Consider the following 13,068-nt stretch of genomic DNA (forward strand, 5'->3'; position numbering starts at 1 on the left):
AGGGACTCCTCTCCAATGAAAAGAATGTGACAGGAGTGATGCTGTGTGGCTTCCAAGGCTAGGTCACAAAGAGCATAGCTTCTACTGGATTCTCTCTCTTTTGGATCTCTCTCTCTGATGCTCTGCTCTAAAGAAAAAGCCAAACAACCTGTTTTAAGAATAATAAAGCAGGCCTAGGACAGTTCCATGTAAAGAGAACCTGAGGCTTTTCCCAAATTTGCCAGCAACATCAGTGAACCACATTGGAATGGGATCCGATAGCATCTCTAAGTCTTTGGCTGCCTCGAGGCCTGGACAGCATCCTGACTGTAACCTCGTGAGAGACCCTGAGCCAGAATCGCTCCAACGAGCTGCTTCCAAATTCCTGACTCAAAGAAACGGTGAAGGAAATAAATATTTGTCGTTTTCAGTCATTGATTATGGGGATAATTTGTTATGGGGCAACATATAATTAATATGTCACGATTTACTGAAATGGGTAATGCAGGAGGAGGAAAAAAATGGGGTGGTGGGCGGAAATGCTATGGCCCTGATGATTTGAAGGTCATGTAGGAGAGCATAATAAACATGTCAAGAGAAACTTTGATATTCTTCTCTAGTCTGACAGTCAGGGAGAGGCCAAGGATTAAACTAGTATTCCTTAAGGTACCTGTAATGTACAATCTTGAAACTCTCTTCAGTGCATTTTTATTTTAGTGACGATATTTCCCTTTACGGCAAGGTGTTTGTTCTTCTCTTTGCTTCTTTGTCCATTGGTGTGTAACATCTTTTGGGTCAGCACATAACTGTTGTAGAAAGGAAACATTTCTAAAATAAGAAAACTGGCAAAGATAAAACTTTTAGTCTTTTAACTTATATTTAAACACTCTGTTAAAGAAACAAGCTCTCAACTAACAACCAATGTACCTGAAAACTAGAAAAGGTTTCCACTGAAAGCTAAACTGCAGATGCTCTCAGTGAGTTGGAGAAATTCCGACACCAGGGTTTGATAGTATTTTCCTCAGATACTCTAAACATATTCAAATGCAATATTCTCCAGCTAGATTTTTCATGGATATGTGCACTAGATAAGGTCTGTGAGGTTGGGGAAGTGTCCAGATATAAGCATACCGAAGATAGAAAATGACTCTACACTGTTATAATACTAGGTTCAACTTCTAGCTTCCAGCATAAATATATCCCTAACACCATAGTCTGAATGTCAGCAAAATTGCTCTCTGCCACGGTTGAGTGCACTGGCATAAAAATTATATAGTTTAATATTTATATATCAACAAGGAACATCTACAGAAAATATGCTCACTCTAGTTCATAGAAGATTGAATGTGGACATCATAAGCAAGAAAATTATATATCTCAAAAACCATTACAGATTTAAGAAAATATAAACGTCAATACAATTTCAAAAATTAGGAGTTACCAATTTAAATCTTTAAAAATTAGATATTTAAAAATTAGGCTGCATGGGGGCAGCCACTCAGATGTTGCCCCCTCAGTGAATGATCCTCAGGCGACCCAAGTTTTTGGCTCTCTGGGGTGTCAGTTTGTGAAGAGGAACCCAGGCACGTTACACACCTTGGATTTTGTTCTCCTCCTCTACAAGGAAAATGCAATAAGTTGTCTCAGGGCAAAGGGGAATTTGTTAAATTTCTTTTCTTTGAATTGGTAGGGGTACAAGCACTTGGGGACTGAAAGTCTGGAAGCTCTTCTGAGCTGTTGTTTAAATGTTTGACAAACATTTAATAAGTGACCCTTATTCATCAGGCATACTAGGCACTTTGAACATGGGTTGATAGCCCAAGGTACTTCCTTTGAGTAGCTTATGGTCTCAGAAGATTGGTCACCTTTTGGCGTTATTAAGGGCATTGTATTTTTCATGTTCACACAATCAGATACACACACACTCACACACAATTAACAACAAACCTTACTGAATCACTCCTGCCTGTGTTAGACACAAAGAGTTCTGTTGATCCCCTTAACACCCACAAACTGTTGTGCCAATTTACAACTGTAACCATATGCAGCTTCACATTTCTTCAAACTTTTACTTGCCATTCTCTCCCTCCATGTTTCTCTTTATCTTCCGTCTTGTGTCCTCTCCTAAAATCCAAGAAAATCCTCAATGAACTACTGAAAGACCTTTTTATCCTGGATTAAAGGTGAAGCCTATTCTGTGGCTTGTTGGGGTCTGTGTGAGGAGCAGGATTTTACTTACTTAGTAGATCCAGAAGTTAGAGTAACTTTTTAATACTGAATAGAATAGAAATTAATTTTTCACCACCATGGGAGATAGATGTGGTCAGCAAGGGGAAAGCTAGACTGACTTCCATTTGCTGTGGTCAAAAAAGAACATAGAGATTTTATTATCCAAAACTAGATGATGCTAATAGATGGAGCCTGCTAGTTTATCCCAAGAACTGCCATTGTATTAGAACAGGGTCATCCCATCTGAGTTTAATTTTCTAATGAAAACAACACCAAAATGTTCCTGAGGTCCTTGTGAAGTTTTGAAATACTGTACCCCAAGTAGCTAAGTGGTGGGAGAGAGGGGGTAGCTGCCTGCGGGATTGTCTGAGGGGGGTGAAATTAACAGCTCGCCAATCTGCTCAGATGGAATTCCTGTGAAAATCATAAAAATGACACAGCACCCACACCACACATTCACTTGGAGATGTCTTCCTTACAGCCCACCCTCTCCTCCTCCAATACCAAAAATGCACAAATTAGCACTACATAGAATTTTGGTTGCATTTGTGAACACTGAAACTCTGAGATAGCTCTCAGTTAGTTTAGAAAGTTTATGTTAGTTTATGTTGCCAAGGTTGAGGATGTGCACCAGTGATACAGTCTCAGGAAGTTCTGCGAACATGTGCCCAAGGAGGCCAGGGCACAGCTTGGTTCTATGAATTTTAGGGAGACGTGAGATATCAATCAATATATGTAAGAAGTACATTGGTTCGGTCCAGAAAGGCGGGGAAAACTAGAAGCAGGGAGGGGCTTTCTAGGCCACAGGTAGGTGAGGGACAAATGGTTGCATTCTTCTGAGTTTCTGATAAGCCTTTCCAAAGGAGGCAATCAGATAGGCATCTAACTCAGTGAACAGAGGGATGGCTTTGAATAGAATGGGAGGAAGGTTTGCACTGAGTAGTTCCCAGCTTGACTTTTCTCTTTAGCTTAGTAGTTTTGGGGCCCCAAGATTTTCCTTCCACACATTGCAACATGGTTTAAAGTCCAAATCCAAATCCAAATTGCAAGCAAAGGCAGTGATTCCCAAGAGCCCTCAAACATGCCGAATGAAAAGTTCTTTCAGAAGACGTACAGGAGAATGATTTTTGAGCATTTGTATTCCAGTAGAATTGTTTTTGTAATTATCTACCCAATTTCCTTTAAGAGTCTCCTGAGGCACTTTTTGAAGACTAGAAGAAAATGAACAAAAGGTTCTTGTGGTTTATTAGAGGGGGAAAAACAACTCCTATTATTTAAAGGATCTCAAAGCCAAAAGAGGGATTTTAGGTTGAAGGATAATAACAAATATTGTGCAAAGATTTTAAAATTTGTTTTATTCCAGGGAAAAGAAAATATTAAAGTAACCCAACCAACATTTTCTTGGGCATTAAAAATAATGATGTTTATTGTAATTCATATTTTGTCTTTGCTTTTCATATCTGCATTATAAATATGCACCTTACAAATATATTGATATGGTTTGGCTGTGTCCCCACCCAAATCTCAACTTGAACTTTATCTCCCAGAATTCCCATGTGTTATGGGAGGAGCCCAAGGGGAGGCAATAGAATTATGGGGGCAGGTCTTTCCTTCTCTATTTTTGTGATAGTGAATAAGTCTCTTGAGATCTGATGGGTTTATCAGGGGTTTCCGCTTTTGCTTCCTCCTCATTTTCTCTTGCTGCCACCATGTAAGAAGTGCCTTTTACCACCTGCCATGATTCTGAGGCCTCCTCAGCCATGTGGAACTGTGAGTCCAATTAAAACTCTTTTTCCTCCCAGTCTCAGGCATGTCTTTATCAGCAACGTGAAAATGAACTAATACATATATTTGTCAGAAAACCGAAGCTATACTTGTACAGCCAGCTATTTTTAAAAGTACTTTATGTTCTGAAAAAGTGCTATGACTTGTTCTCAATCTATGTGAAAAAGACCTGAGCATATAAAAAGTGTTTGCTCTCTGTCCTTAAATGAGTTGTTAGGTATTATGTGTTGAAACTTCTGACAGGGGCAAAGAGCTGATGGAAACTTGTAAGGACTTACATTATAACTCAAGTAGGTATCATTGCATTATGCTGTTAGACTTAAGGCTATAGTAGAATTGCATGAGCAAATTATATTTGTTGTCATAAATCAATGAATAATGCTTTTATTAATTATTTGTTGAGTCTTGCTTTTGGTCTCACACGGGACTTTAAATTTGGAATGATTTTGGGACAGAAAACAAAACCACACCCTCATTAGGTCATAATTGCTTTCTAACTTGATCTCTGGCACATTATTTACATAAGTAGATTTTACTTATTAGTCTTGTTAGCAATGAAGTAATCATATTTGTTATCCAAAGTTAAACATGATGTACTGTTGGCTTTTTGTCAATTTTAGAAGGGATGTAAAACCTTGGCATAGAGCTGAAATGTTTTACATGACAGAAGATATTTTATTTTTCTTTAAATAACAGTCTAATATTCCTACATGCACAATAAATAGACTCTTCTGAGAGTGTATGGAAGTAGAGGCCAGGTGCGGTGGCTCACGCCTCTAATCCTAGCACTTTGGGAGACCGAGGCAGGCAGATCACTTGAGGCCAGGAGTTTGAAAGCAGCCTGGCCAACATGGTGAACCCGTCTCTACCAAAAATACAAAACAATTAGCTGGGCGTGATGGCAGGCACCTGTAATACCAGCTATTTGGGAGGCTAAGGCAGGAGAATCTCTTGAACCAGGGAGGCGGAGGTTGCAGTGAGCCAAGATCGCACCACTGCACTCCAGCCTAGGTGATAAAGTGAGACTTTGTCTCAAAAAAGAAAAAGAGAGAAGAAAAGGGGGGTAGAGAAAGCAGTTATCAAATAGATTAGAATAAAATGGGTTGGGTGAATTGATATCTCACTTTAATATTTTAATTTTGTTTCAGGAAATTTTAGGTGAGGCAGGAGTTCATCAGCATATTTAACAAAGCCACGAAGTAAAAAGGCTATCATGGATTGACCAGCTAAGCAAAAGGCTAACAGTAGGAGGCTATTGAAAGAGGTGAAGGTGGAAAAAGTAGCACTAGCTACACTATGCTAGGGAGAGCTGCACTGGTCTAATTACTCAACAGTATTTGTCACGATCCAACCATTTGTAAAGCACCATTCCAGATGCCGTATGCCTTAAAGTTCGGGTTATAAGGAAGGACAGAAAAAAGAGCAGCTATTAAACACCTGTCTTTACATAATATTATTTAATTTCACAGTAATCATAAGCTATTATAAGATAAATATTGATATTCTTATTTTCCATAGGTTCGGTGAAATCAGGCAACCTACTCTCAGTTCGTTCCCTACATAAAGCAATATAACTTGTACCTGTGATTTAGACAAGTTCTTATCCAAAGATCCATACAGCTTTGTCAATGAGAATGAGGAAAATTTACAAATATTGTGGAAAATAGCAAACTTTGTACCCCAAATTATTTAATGGTACCTAGATAGTTTTTCAGACACAGACAAATTTGAGCATCTAATTATGCAGAGATAAAAGTTTTATGTAATAAATATATATATATACCCTGATCAATATCTCTATTTCTTTTATGAAAGATATGAAGTACATGGTAAGAATAAGAGATGTACAACTTTATAAATGTTTTCATTTATTCTATAAAAGATTTAATATCTAACTTTAGCCCTCAGTCTGACTGATAATTTAGCTACAACTGGAAAAATTCAGAAAATTTGACAGATATTAAAATTATCTTGGCTGTAAAACTTAATTTTTCTCAAAAATTGTCCCTGGGTTGATGTTAAACTGTTAGCCTTTGAGTAAGGGGTTTAAGAGGTTTATGAAAATAGTACTGAGTCACAGATACGGAAGGAATCTCTACCTCTAAATCCTGAAATAGGTGTTTAATTGGTTTAATGGGTTTACACCATTAAATGTTGGCCAGAGTAATGTTGGCCATTGCTCTGGATGTAACTTGTCCCAGTTTCTGTTGGCTGAGAGTGAGCCATGTCCTCATCTAATCCCCTGTGGGACTGCTGCACCTAGAAACAGTGGAGTGCGGTTCCCTTGCCACTTATGCCTCATGGGAGACACGGGGGATTGCCTTTGACCCTCTTGTGCCTAAATATTTTGTGACACCCTTTCTATTCTGTGACTAACACACACCACGACAACACATGAAAGTTTCCTATGAAGCTTGTCATCTCCTTAGTTTTCATCTAGAAAGTGGGCACATATTATCTTAGCTTTGTGATGCCCAAACTTAAAAAGGATACTATGTAATTTTATTCTGTCTTTCAGACTTATCTATGAGTGAAGGTAGTTGTTGTGGAGAGGAGGTAGGATGTCTGCCTCTAACCTGTGGAATATTCCACCTTCTTCTTTTCATCTGCCCCAAACAGAAGGTATTTTATATCCTATGGGAAGGGTGTGGGACGTTGCTGACTCAGGTCATTTGAGCTTAAAGGGTAGAAATTTGCCACTTTTGTTGTCTCGTCTGTTTTGACAACTCTACTCACAAGCCTCAGGGCAACAGTGGCTCTAAGAACCATACAGGGGACAGTCACAACTAAAAGGAAGTGTATGGTCAGCAATGAGTACTTGGAATCAAATTATATTTCTACCACCATTTGTCTTTTGCAACTTAATGCATATACTCAATCAGTAATGCAGATATTAATGAATTTTTAAAATATTCCATTTTAAACTCAGATCATTATATTCCAGACACCTGGATGGAAAGAGAAATATTTGATTAGTCATGCAGATGTTTCTAGATATTTATTTAGTATTGTATATACAATAAAAATGGCTGAATCTCTTTTCATTCCGGGGACTGTTCGGGGACTGTGTATACTAACGACATGGAACACATTATTTTAAATTTTGAAACCATTGGAGATATAAGCAGCATCCTTGAAGAAACCAGAGGGTAGGAGGAAATGATGTAATTTGTGAAAAATTATAAACAAAACAAACAATATTGACTTATCTTTATCTTCTACTGTTCATTCTACCCAATGGCTAGCTATATTTTTTCAATTGCCTGTGATATTCATTTAATGAAGTCATTTTATAAAGACAAAAATACGATGCTGGTACTTTTCCTGTAAATCAAAACTATTTCTACATGCCTAAGTTCCTGGGATTATTTTAGACACAAAAGTCAGGAAAACAATTTCCAAAAATACACATATTTTCTACCTGCTTGTTTCATTTTTATGAAATTGAGTTCTCCTAAAAGGCCTGATACTACACTAGCCTCAAACAGGTCACATATCAGAAAAAGTCAATAATGCTTGGATGATTTAATCATTTGCATCCTAAAATTTTTGCAGAAATTTTTGAGTAATATTTTGACAAACACACATAATTTTTCTTTTATGAAAACTGCAATCTTTTTTAGGGGACATAGAACATTTTTTAAAGGCAAAAATAAGTTTATGCCATAATCAATCACTCAGCTACAGCTTTAAAATGGTTATTTATAAGTTGCTTAATCTGCTTGCCTTATTTAATGGGTCTTTTCATTATTTATTCGATTAATGTTGTAAACACAGTATTGATTCCAAGAGTAATGCTTTTCATAAAATATATCTGACCATAAAATTGAGCAGTAAAAGTTAAAATATAAAAACTCCTAGATTGGTTTCATCATCCCTTTAGAAATGTATGTAAACCTTGTGCTTTGGGGTTATAGACACAGGGGAGAATTAAAATACCAGATGCACATATTCTCCAATATGTGAGACCAATTAGGGGTAATTATTCTATTGAACATTTTTAATTCTGCTTTTAGGAAGATATTCTAATTTAGGATTTTCTCTCTTCCTGTTCAATAAAAAGTTATTTCTTATATGCAAAGAATATGCATATTAGAATATAATTTTTGAAATTATTTTGTCCAATGCTTTTTTTTTAAAGAGACAGGACTTCGCTCTGTCACCCATGCTGAGTACAGTGGTATGATCATAGCTCACTGCAGCCTTGAATTCCTGGGATCAAGTGATCTTCCTGAGTAGCTGGGACAACAGGCACGCACCACTATGTCCAGCTAATTATTTTAATTTTTGTAGAGACAGGGTCTTGCATTGTCTCCCAGGCTGGTCTCAAATTCCTGGCTTCAAGCAGTTCTCCCGCCTCTGCCTCCCAAAGTGCTGGTTTTACAGGTGTGAGTCACCATGCCTGGACCCAATACTCTTAATTCAAATTTGTGGATGCTGAGACTCAGAGAGATCAATGAACTTGTCCAAAGCATCATCATGTGTAATTAAGCAATTTAATTGTTCCCACTTTACACACACCCTGTTATCTGTACACACACACACAGTCTAATGCAGTTTTTAAAATGACTTATTTAATGGTGAGTTATTATCCTATTTCTCTTCCTTTGGATGAAGCTTCATTCCTAATACAATTTATTCTGTACATTCAAACCACCATCAAAATATTCTACTGAACACACCTGTATGGGTTTGGCCTATGAGGGATTTTAGGTATTTATAAAATTTGAATCATTTCCAAACTATCTCTTGTGTAGATCTTTCTATTACCACTGCTAACTTAGTCCTGACCTTCTTAATTTCTCTTCTATATGCTGCAATGATCACCTTACTGGTCTCCGTCCCCAATCAATACTACACACTACTGCTAGAGTTATTGCCCTTACCCTGTTGTAAAACATTCACTTCCTATTGCTTAGAATAAATGCCAATTACTTAGCCTAACATTTAAAAATCTCCATTATATGACCCCAACCTATATTTCAACCTTCTCCCTCTACCTCTACTCTCGCGTGCCCTAACTCCCAAATCACATGTGGCTGTTATCTATTTGCCATTCCTTCTGTTTGTCCAATATGTTTTTCCTAATTGATCTTAACTCAAGTTTTCTCATTCATCTGAAATTATGCAGTAGATTTATTTATGACTTAGACAAAATCTCACCTCCTTGCAAGGCAGTCACAAACGTCACTATTCAAAATTCATCCCCTCACCTATACTGTCATAAGATTGTTTAAATGTTAATCATAGCACCTATGACAGTCTTCTACTAAGTGTATTCATGTATAGCTGTCTTTGTCCCTAAAATAACAGCAAGCATATGGAGGCAAGAGAAAATTTCCATTTTGTTTTTGTTAATCCACAGAGTATTCAACAACAAATTTATGTTGATTGAATTGATTTGATTGAAAATTTGGGTGGTTTTAAAATACATTACGTGTTTTCTTATCCTCTTAATATGCTATACCATATAATGTGTTTTTCTTGCTAACTCAGGACAACATTTATTAGCATTTATTGTACTAGGTTATAATGCCCTCAAGAGCCACTAAGGCATGTCAAATTCTTTGCCCCTAGAGTAAATAGCTACTGACTGTAGAGATTTGATTTGGGGAGTTTTATATCCTGGGGACTCCTTACGCCAGCAGCTTTATTTTAATCAATCGCCTGGGGGTAGGCCTGAAGGTGTTACTGTCCCTCTCCTACAGAGGGAACATCAAGGTCCTTGTAGTAGCCGTTTGTTTCTAAGACTTACTGTCCTTTCTGGTTGTTGGATGAAATGCTACATGCACCATTGCTTCCAAAGAGTTAGACTTTTTCTCATTGAGAAATAAGAAACAACTTATTTAACTTTGGGCAAGAAAAAGTTGGAATTTGGGTTTTTACAGCCCCACTTCTCACTGGGATGGTTGACCTCATTTTCACAGCAGGGGAGACTGCGCTGAGGCTGAATGTTTTCAGGAGGGCAGGACAGTCACGCCACTGTGGCCCATTCCCTCACCCTCTTTCATGTGTACGGAAATGGAGTGGAACGTCTTTCTTGGGGTGGGCATCCTCAGCCCCACAGCCTAGCTATTCTTGCTTCCTCCTCAACTGAAGTGGAAATTGTGGCACTACTGTTTTTGGCTAGAAGGCCATGGGGCATTAGGTCACTGGAGCCCTCAAGAGACACAAAATATAGCAAGGGCAAAAATCCAATGCCAGCTGAGAGAACAGGGATTTGATTTCCTGTGGGAACTTCCAGTCATGTTCCAGTCCCTCCAATTATGTTCCCTGCCCCCTGCCACCCTGAGTTATAATTTCTTCAGGATTCAATAATAGTCATTGTTCATTTCTTTTTTGGCTTTTCCCTCCTGTACTTTTTCAAGCAGCCTCAGTTTTTCCAAGTGGATATTTCTTTCTCCCCAGAAAGTTAATAGATGTATTTATTTTATCTGAGCTGTCAGAACAATTTATCAATCTTTTTGCTTTAGGTTTTTAATAAAATTTATATTTAAGATTTCTTTCAGAATTTTTCTCATGAACAAAAATCTTCCCAGGTGGCAATTGGGAACACATAAATTGTATTCACCGAAGGAACGAGAAGCACCAATTTGTTCCTCTCCTCCATTTCCTCCTGGAGCTCAGCTCATGCTTGGCGGCCAGAAGGAAATGCTTTTCCAGAGTCGTTTTTATGTGGTCATAGATTTAGGTCAGGCACCGCATTTCTGCTTCTTCAAAACAATGCTTTCTGTAAAAATAATGACAAGCCCAGAAATCTGGAAATCTGTTCTTATTCTGCCTTCATTGCAAATTCACAGCGACCTTAAGTAAGTTACTGATATCTGAGCCTCAGTTTCCTTCAAATGAAGATAACAAACTCTGGCCTCCTATCTTATGGAGTGATGTAAAGATCAAGTGAGAACATCCAAGAAAAACATGGAGATCTATTAAATACTAAAGATAAAGAGATAATTAATGTGACCATACTTCCTAAACTATAAAGAAATGTGTAAGAGCAATTAAGCTCATTGATTATAATTGTTCCCCAAGAGTCCTGAGCACATTGGCTGTGGGTCAGGAAGAGCAATACTGCACATTTAGTTGCCACTTTCTCGTCCTTGCTGTGCTAAATTCACCTCCTACCTGCCCTTCAGGAAGGCTTTCTCCTCATGATGGCCCAGTCGGTATCTCGCCTGCAGCCATAAAACTGAGCTTATCTCAAAGGCAAATACTCAGGTTTAGTAAATACAGAAACATTCCTGGAAATGCATCCAGAGTACCTTCCTGCCTCTATTTTCAGGGACCCAATGGCCCTCACATTGTTTTGATATTTATGTCCTAGGAAGGTTGTGGATATTTAAAGCTCACATGGCGTGCTGATCAGTGGAGGGGGAAAAAAAGTCTTATACCTCCCTAGTTGGACCACCAGTTATTCTTTCGGAAAATTACAGAGTGGAAAAAATCTGAGGGCTTGAAGTAGATCTTGTACTTTATATCCGAAGAATCTTGATTTGTATGGAAAGGCTGATGTTTCTTGGCTAATTTTGTTCTGAAGAAATACCGCTAGCTTCCTGCCACATGGTAGTGACAAAATAATACCAGCAGACCTAAACACATAAAAACGTTGAGGTGAACACGGTCTTGCTTCTTTCCCAACCCCGCCTCAAACTTGTCATTTATACAAGGCAAGTCCGATTTTGGATTGGCCTCTCAGAGAATGTTTCCTCCATTCACAGAACTAGAAAGGTTTGCCATATTGTTTCAGATCCATTTTTCATTCAGGAATAAAACAGATATTTCAAGGGGGTTAAGTAGGTATAGTATCTCTATGACTGGTGTTTTGTAGTTTCTTATTTAAATACAAACAAAACAAACAGACAAAAAAAAAAACCCAAAACAACGTATTAGGTAGATTGCATTTTTCACTTTTCACATTAATTTTAAACAAATCTAGGCTTTAAATTAAGAGATGTACTTAACAGTCACAACTAGTGAAAGTTGAAGCCAAAAGTTAAAGTCCATACTCTTTCCCAAACATTACTGTGTCTCTCTTAATTCACTAGTTAATGATGCTCATAAATAGCATATACCCACACAAGTTGTTCCCATTATATAGGAACACTGCAACCTCAGTAGTACACTCAGGGCCATTCAGGGATCCTGTTTCCCCTCCAAGTTTGCTTTATATTTTATACTGAGTGTGAATATTCTGAAATATTTCACTATCTCTAGATGCCATCTAGGTCTCTAACTCCACAGATATCTCCTGTGGGTAGGGCATATACAGTAGCACTGTGATTTAAGGAAATACATTTTGACATTTTCTTATTATTGTTACTTTTTTGTCTGTATTGGTTCCCAAGCATCAAATAATATTGATTTTCATTTGGAAATGTGTCTGTTTTCTTTCTGTTCTGCCTCCACAGTAACTGACCAACCCACTTTAGAAGACTCCTCCCTAGGGTCTCCTTGCCTCCAAACCGGATCTCTTCTAATCTGCCCTTCACATTGATTCCTGGGTAACTTCTCCTAAAACACAGGTCAGATAATATCTTTTACTTCCTCATTTTTTCTTCAATAGCTTTCTAATGAAAAAAAAAAAAAAATTCCCCAGTGTTGGAGGTGGGACCTGGTGGGAGGTAATTGGATCATCGGAGTGGGTTTCTCATGAATGGTTTTGCACCATCCTCTTGGTGTTGTTCTCATAATACTGAGTTCTTGCTAGATCTGATTGTTTAAAAGTGTGTGGCACCTCTCTCTCTCTTCCTTGCTGCTGCTCTCAACATGTGAGATGCCTGCTCCTGTGCCTTCCACCACAAATGTAAGCCTCCAGAGGCCTCCCCAGAGGCAAATGCCAGTGTTATGCTTCCAGTACCTCCTGCAGAACCATAACCCAATTAAACTTCTTTTCTTAATAAATTACTTGGTCTCAGGTAATTCTTTATAACAATTCAAGAACAGCCTAGTACACTCAGCTTTTCTCAAACGTCAATGTCTCGTGAAGGAGACATGCTCATAGAGCCGATTGTAAGCTCTGTAACCTTAGGGGTTGGGTGTTTTTGAATCCCATTGACTCTCAGCACTGATCACTGT

General features: G+C 38.0%; 1 long non-coding RNA gene across 2 annotated transcripts; it reads left to right on the top strand.

Moving 5' to 3' along the window:
- The first annotated feature begins 105 nt into the window (after nucleotides 1-105).
- On the top strand, nucleotides 106-12,857 carry LOC105377173 (uncharacterized). 2 transcript variants are annotated; one of them, XR_940982.2, is made up of 4 exons: nucleotides 106-380; nucleotides 6,512-6,615; nucleotides 12,402-12,515; nucleotides 12,802-12,857. It is a non-coding gene; the product is annotated as an uncharacterized LOC105377173 (long non-coding RNA). The 2 variants fall into 2 exon arrangements; XR_940981.2 differs by having other exon boundaries at nucleotides 12,767-12,846.
- Nucleotides 12,858-13,068: the final 211 nt, after the last annotated feature.

Source organism: Homo sapiens, chromosome 3, assembly GCF_000001405.40.
Source record: "Homo sapiens chromosome 3, GRCh38.p14 Primary Assembly".
Taxonomy (NCBI): domain Eukaryota; kingdom Metazoa; phylum Chordata; class Mammalia; order Primates; family Hominidae; genus Homo; species Homo sapiens.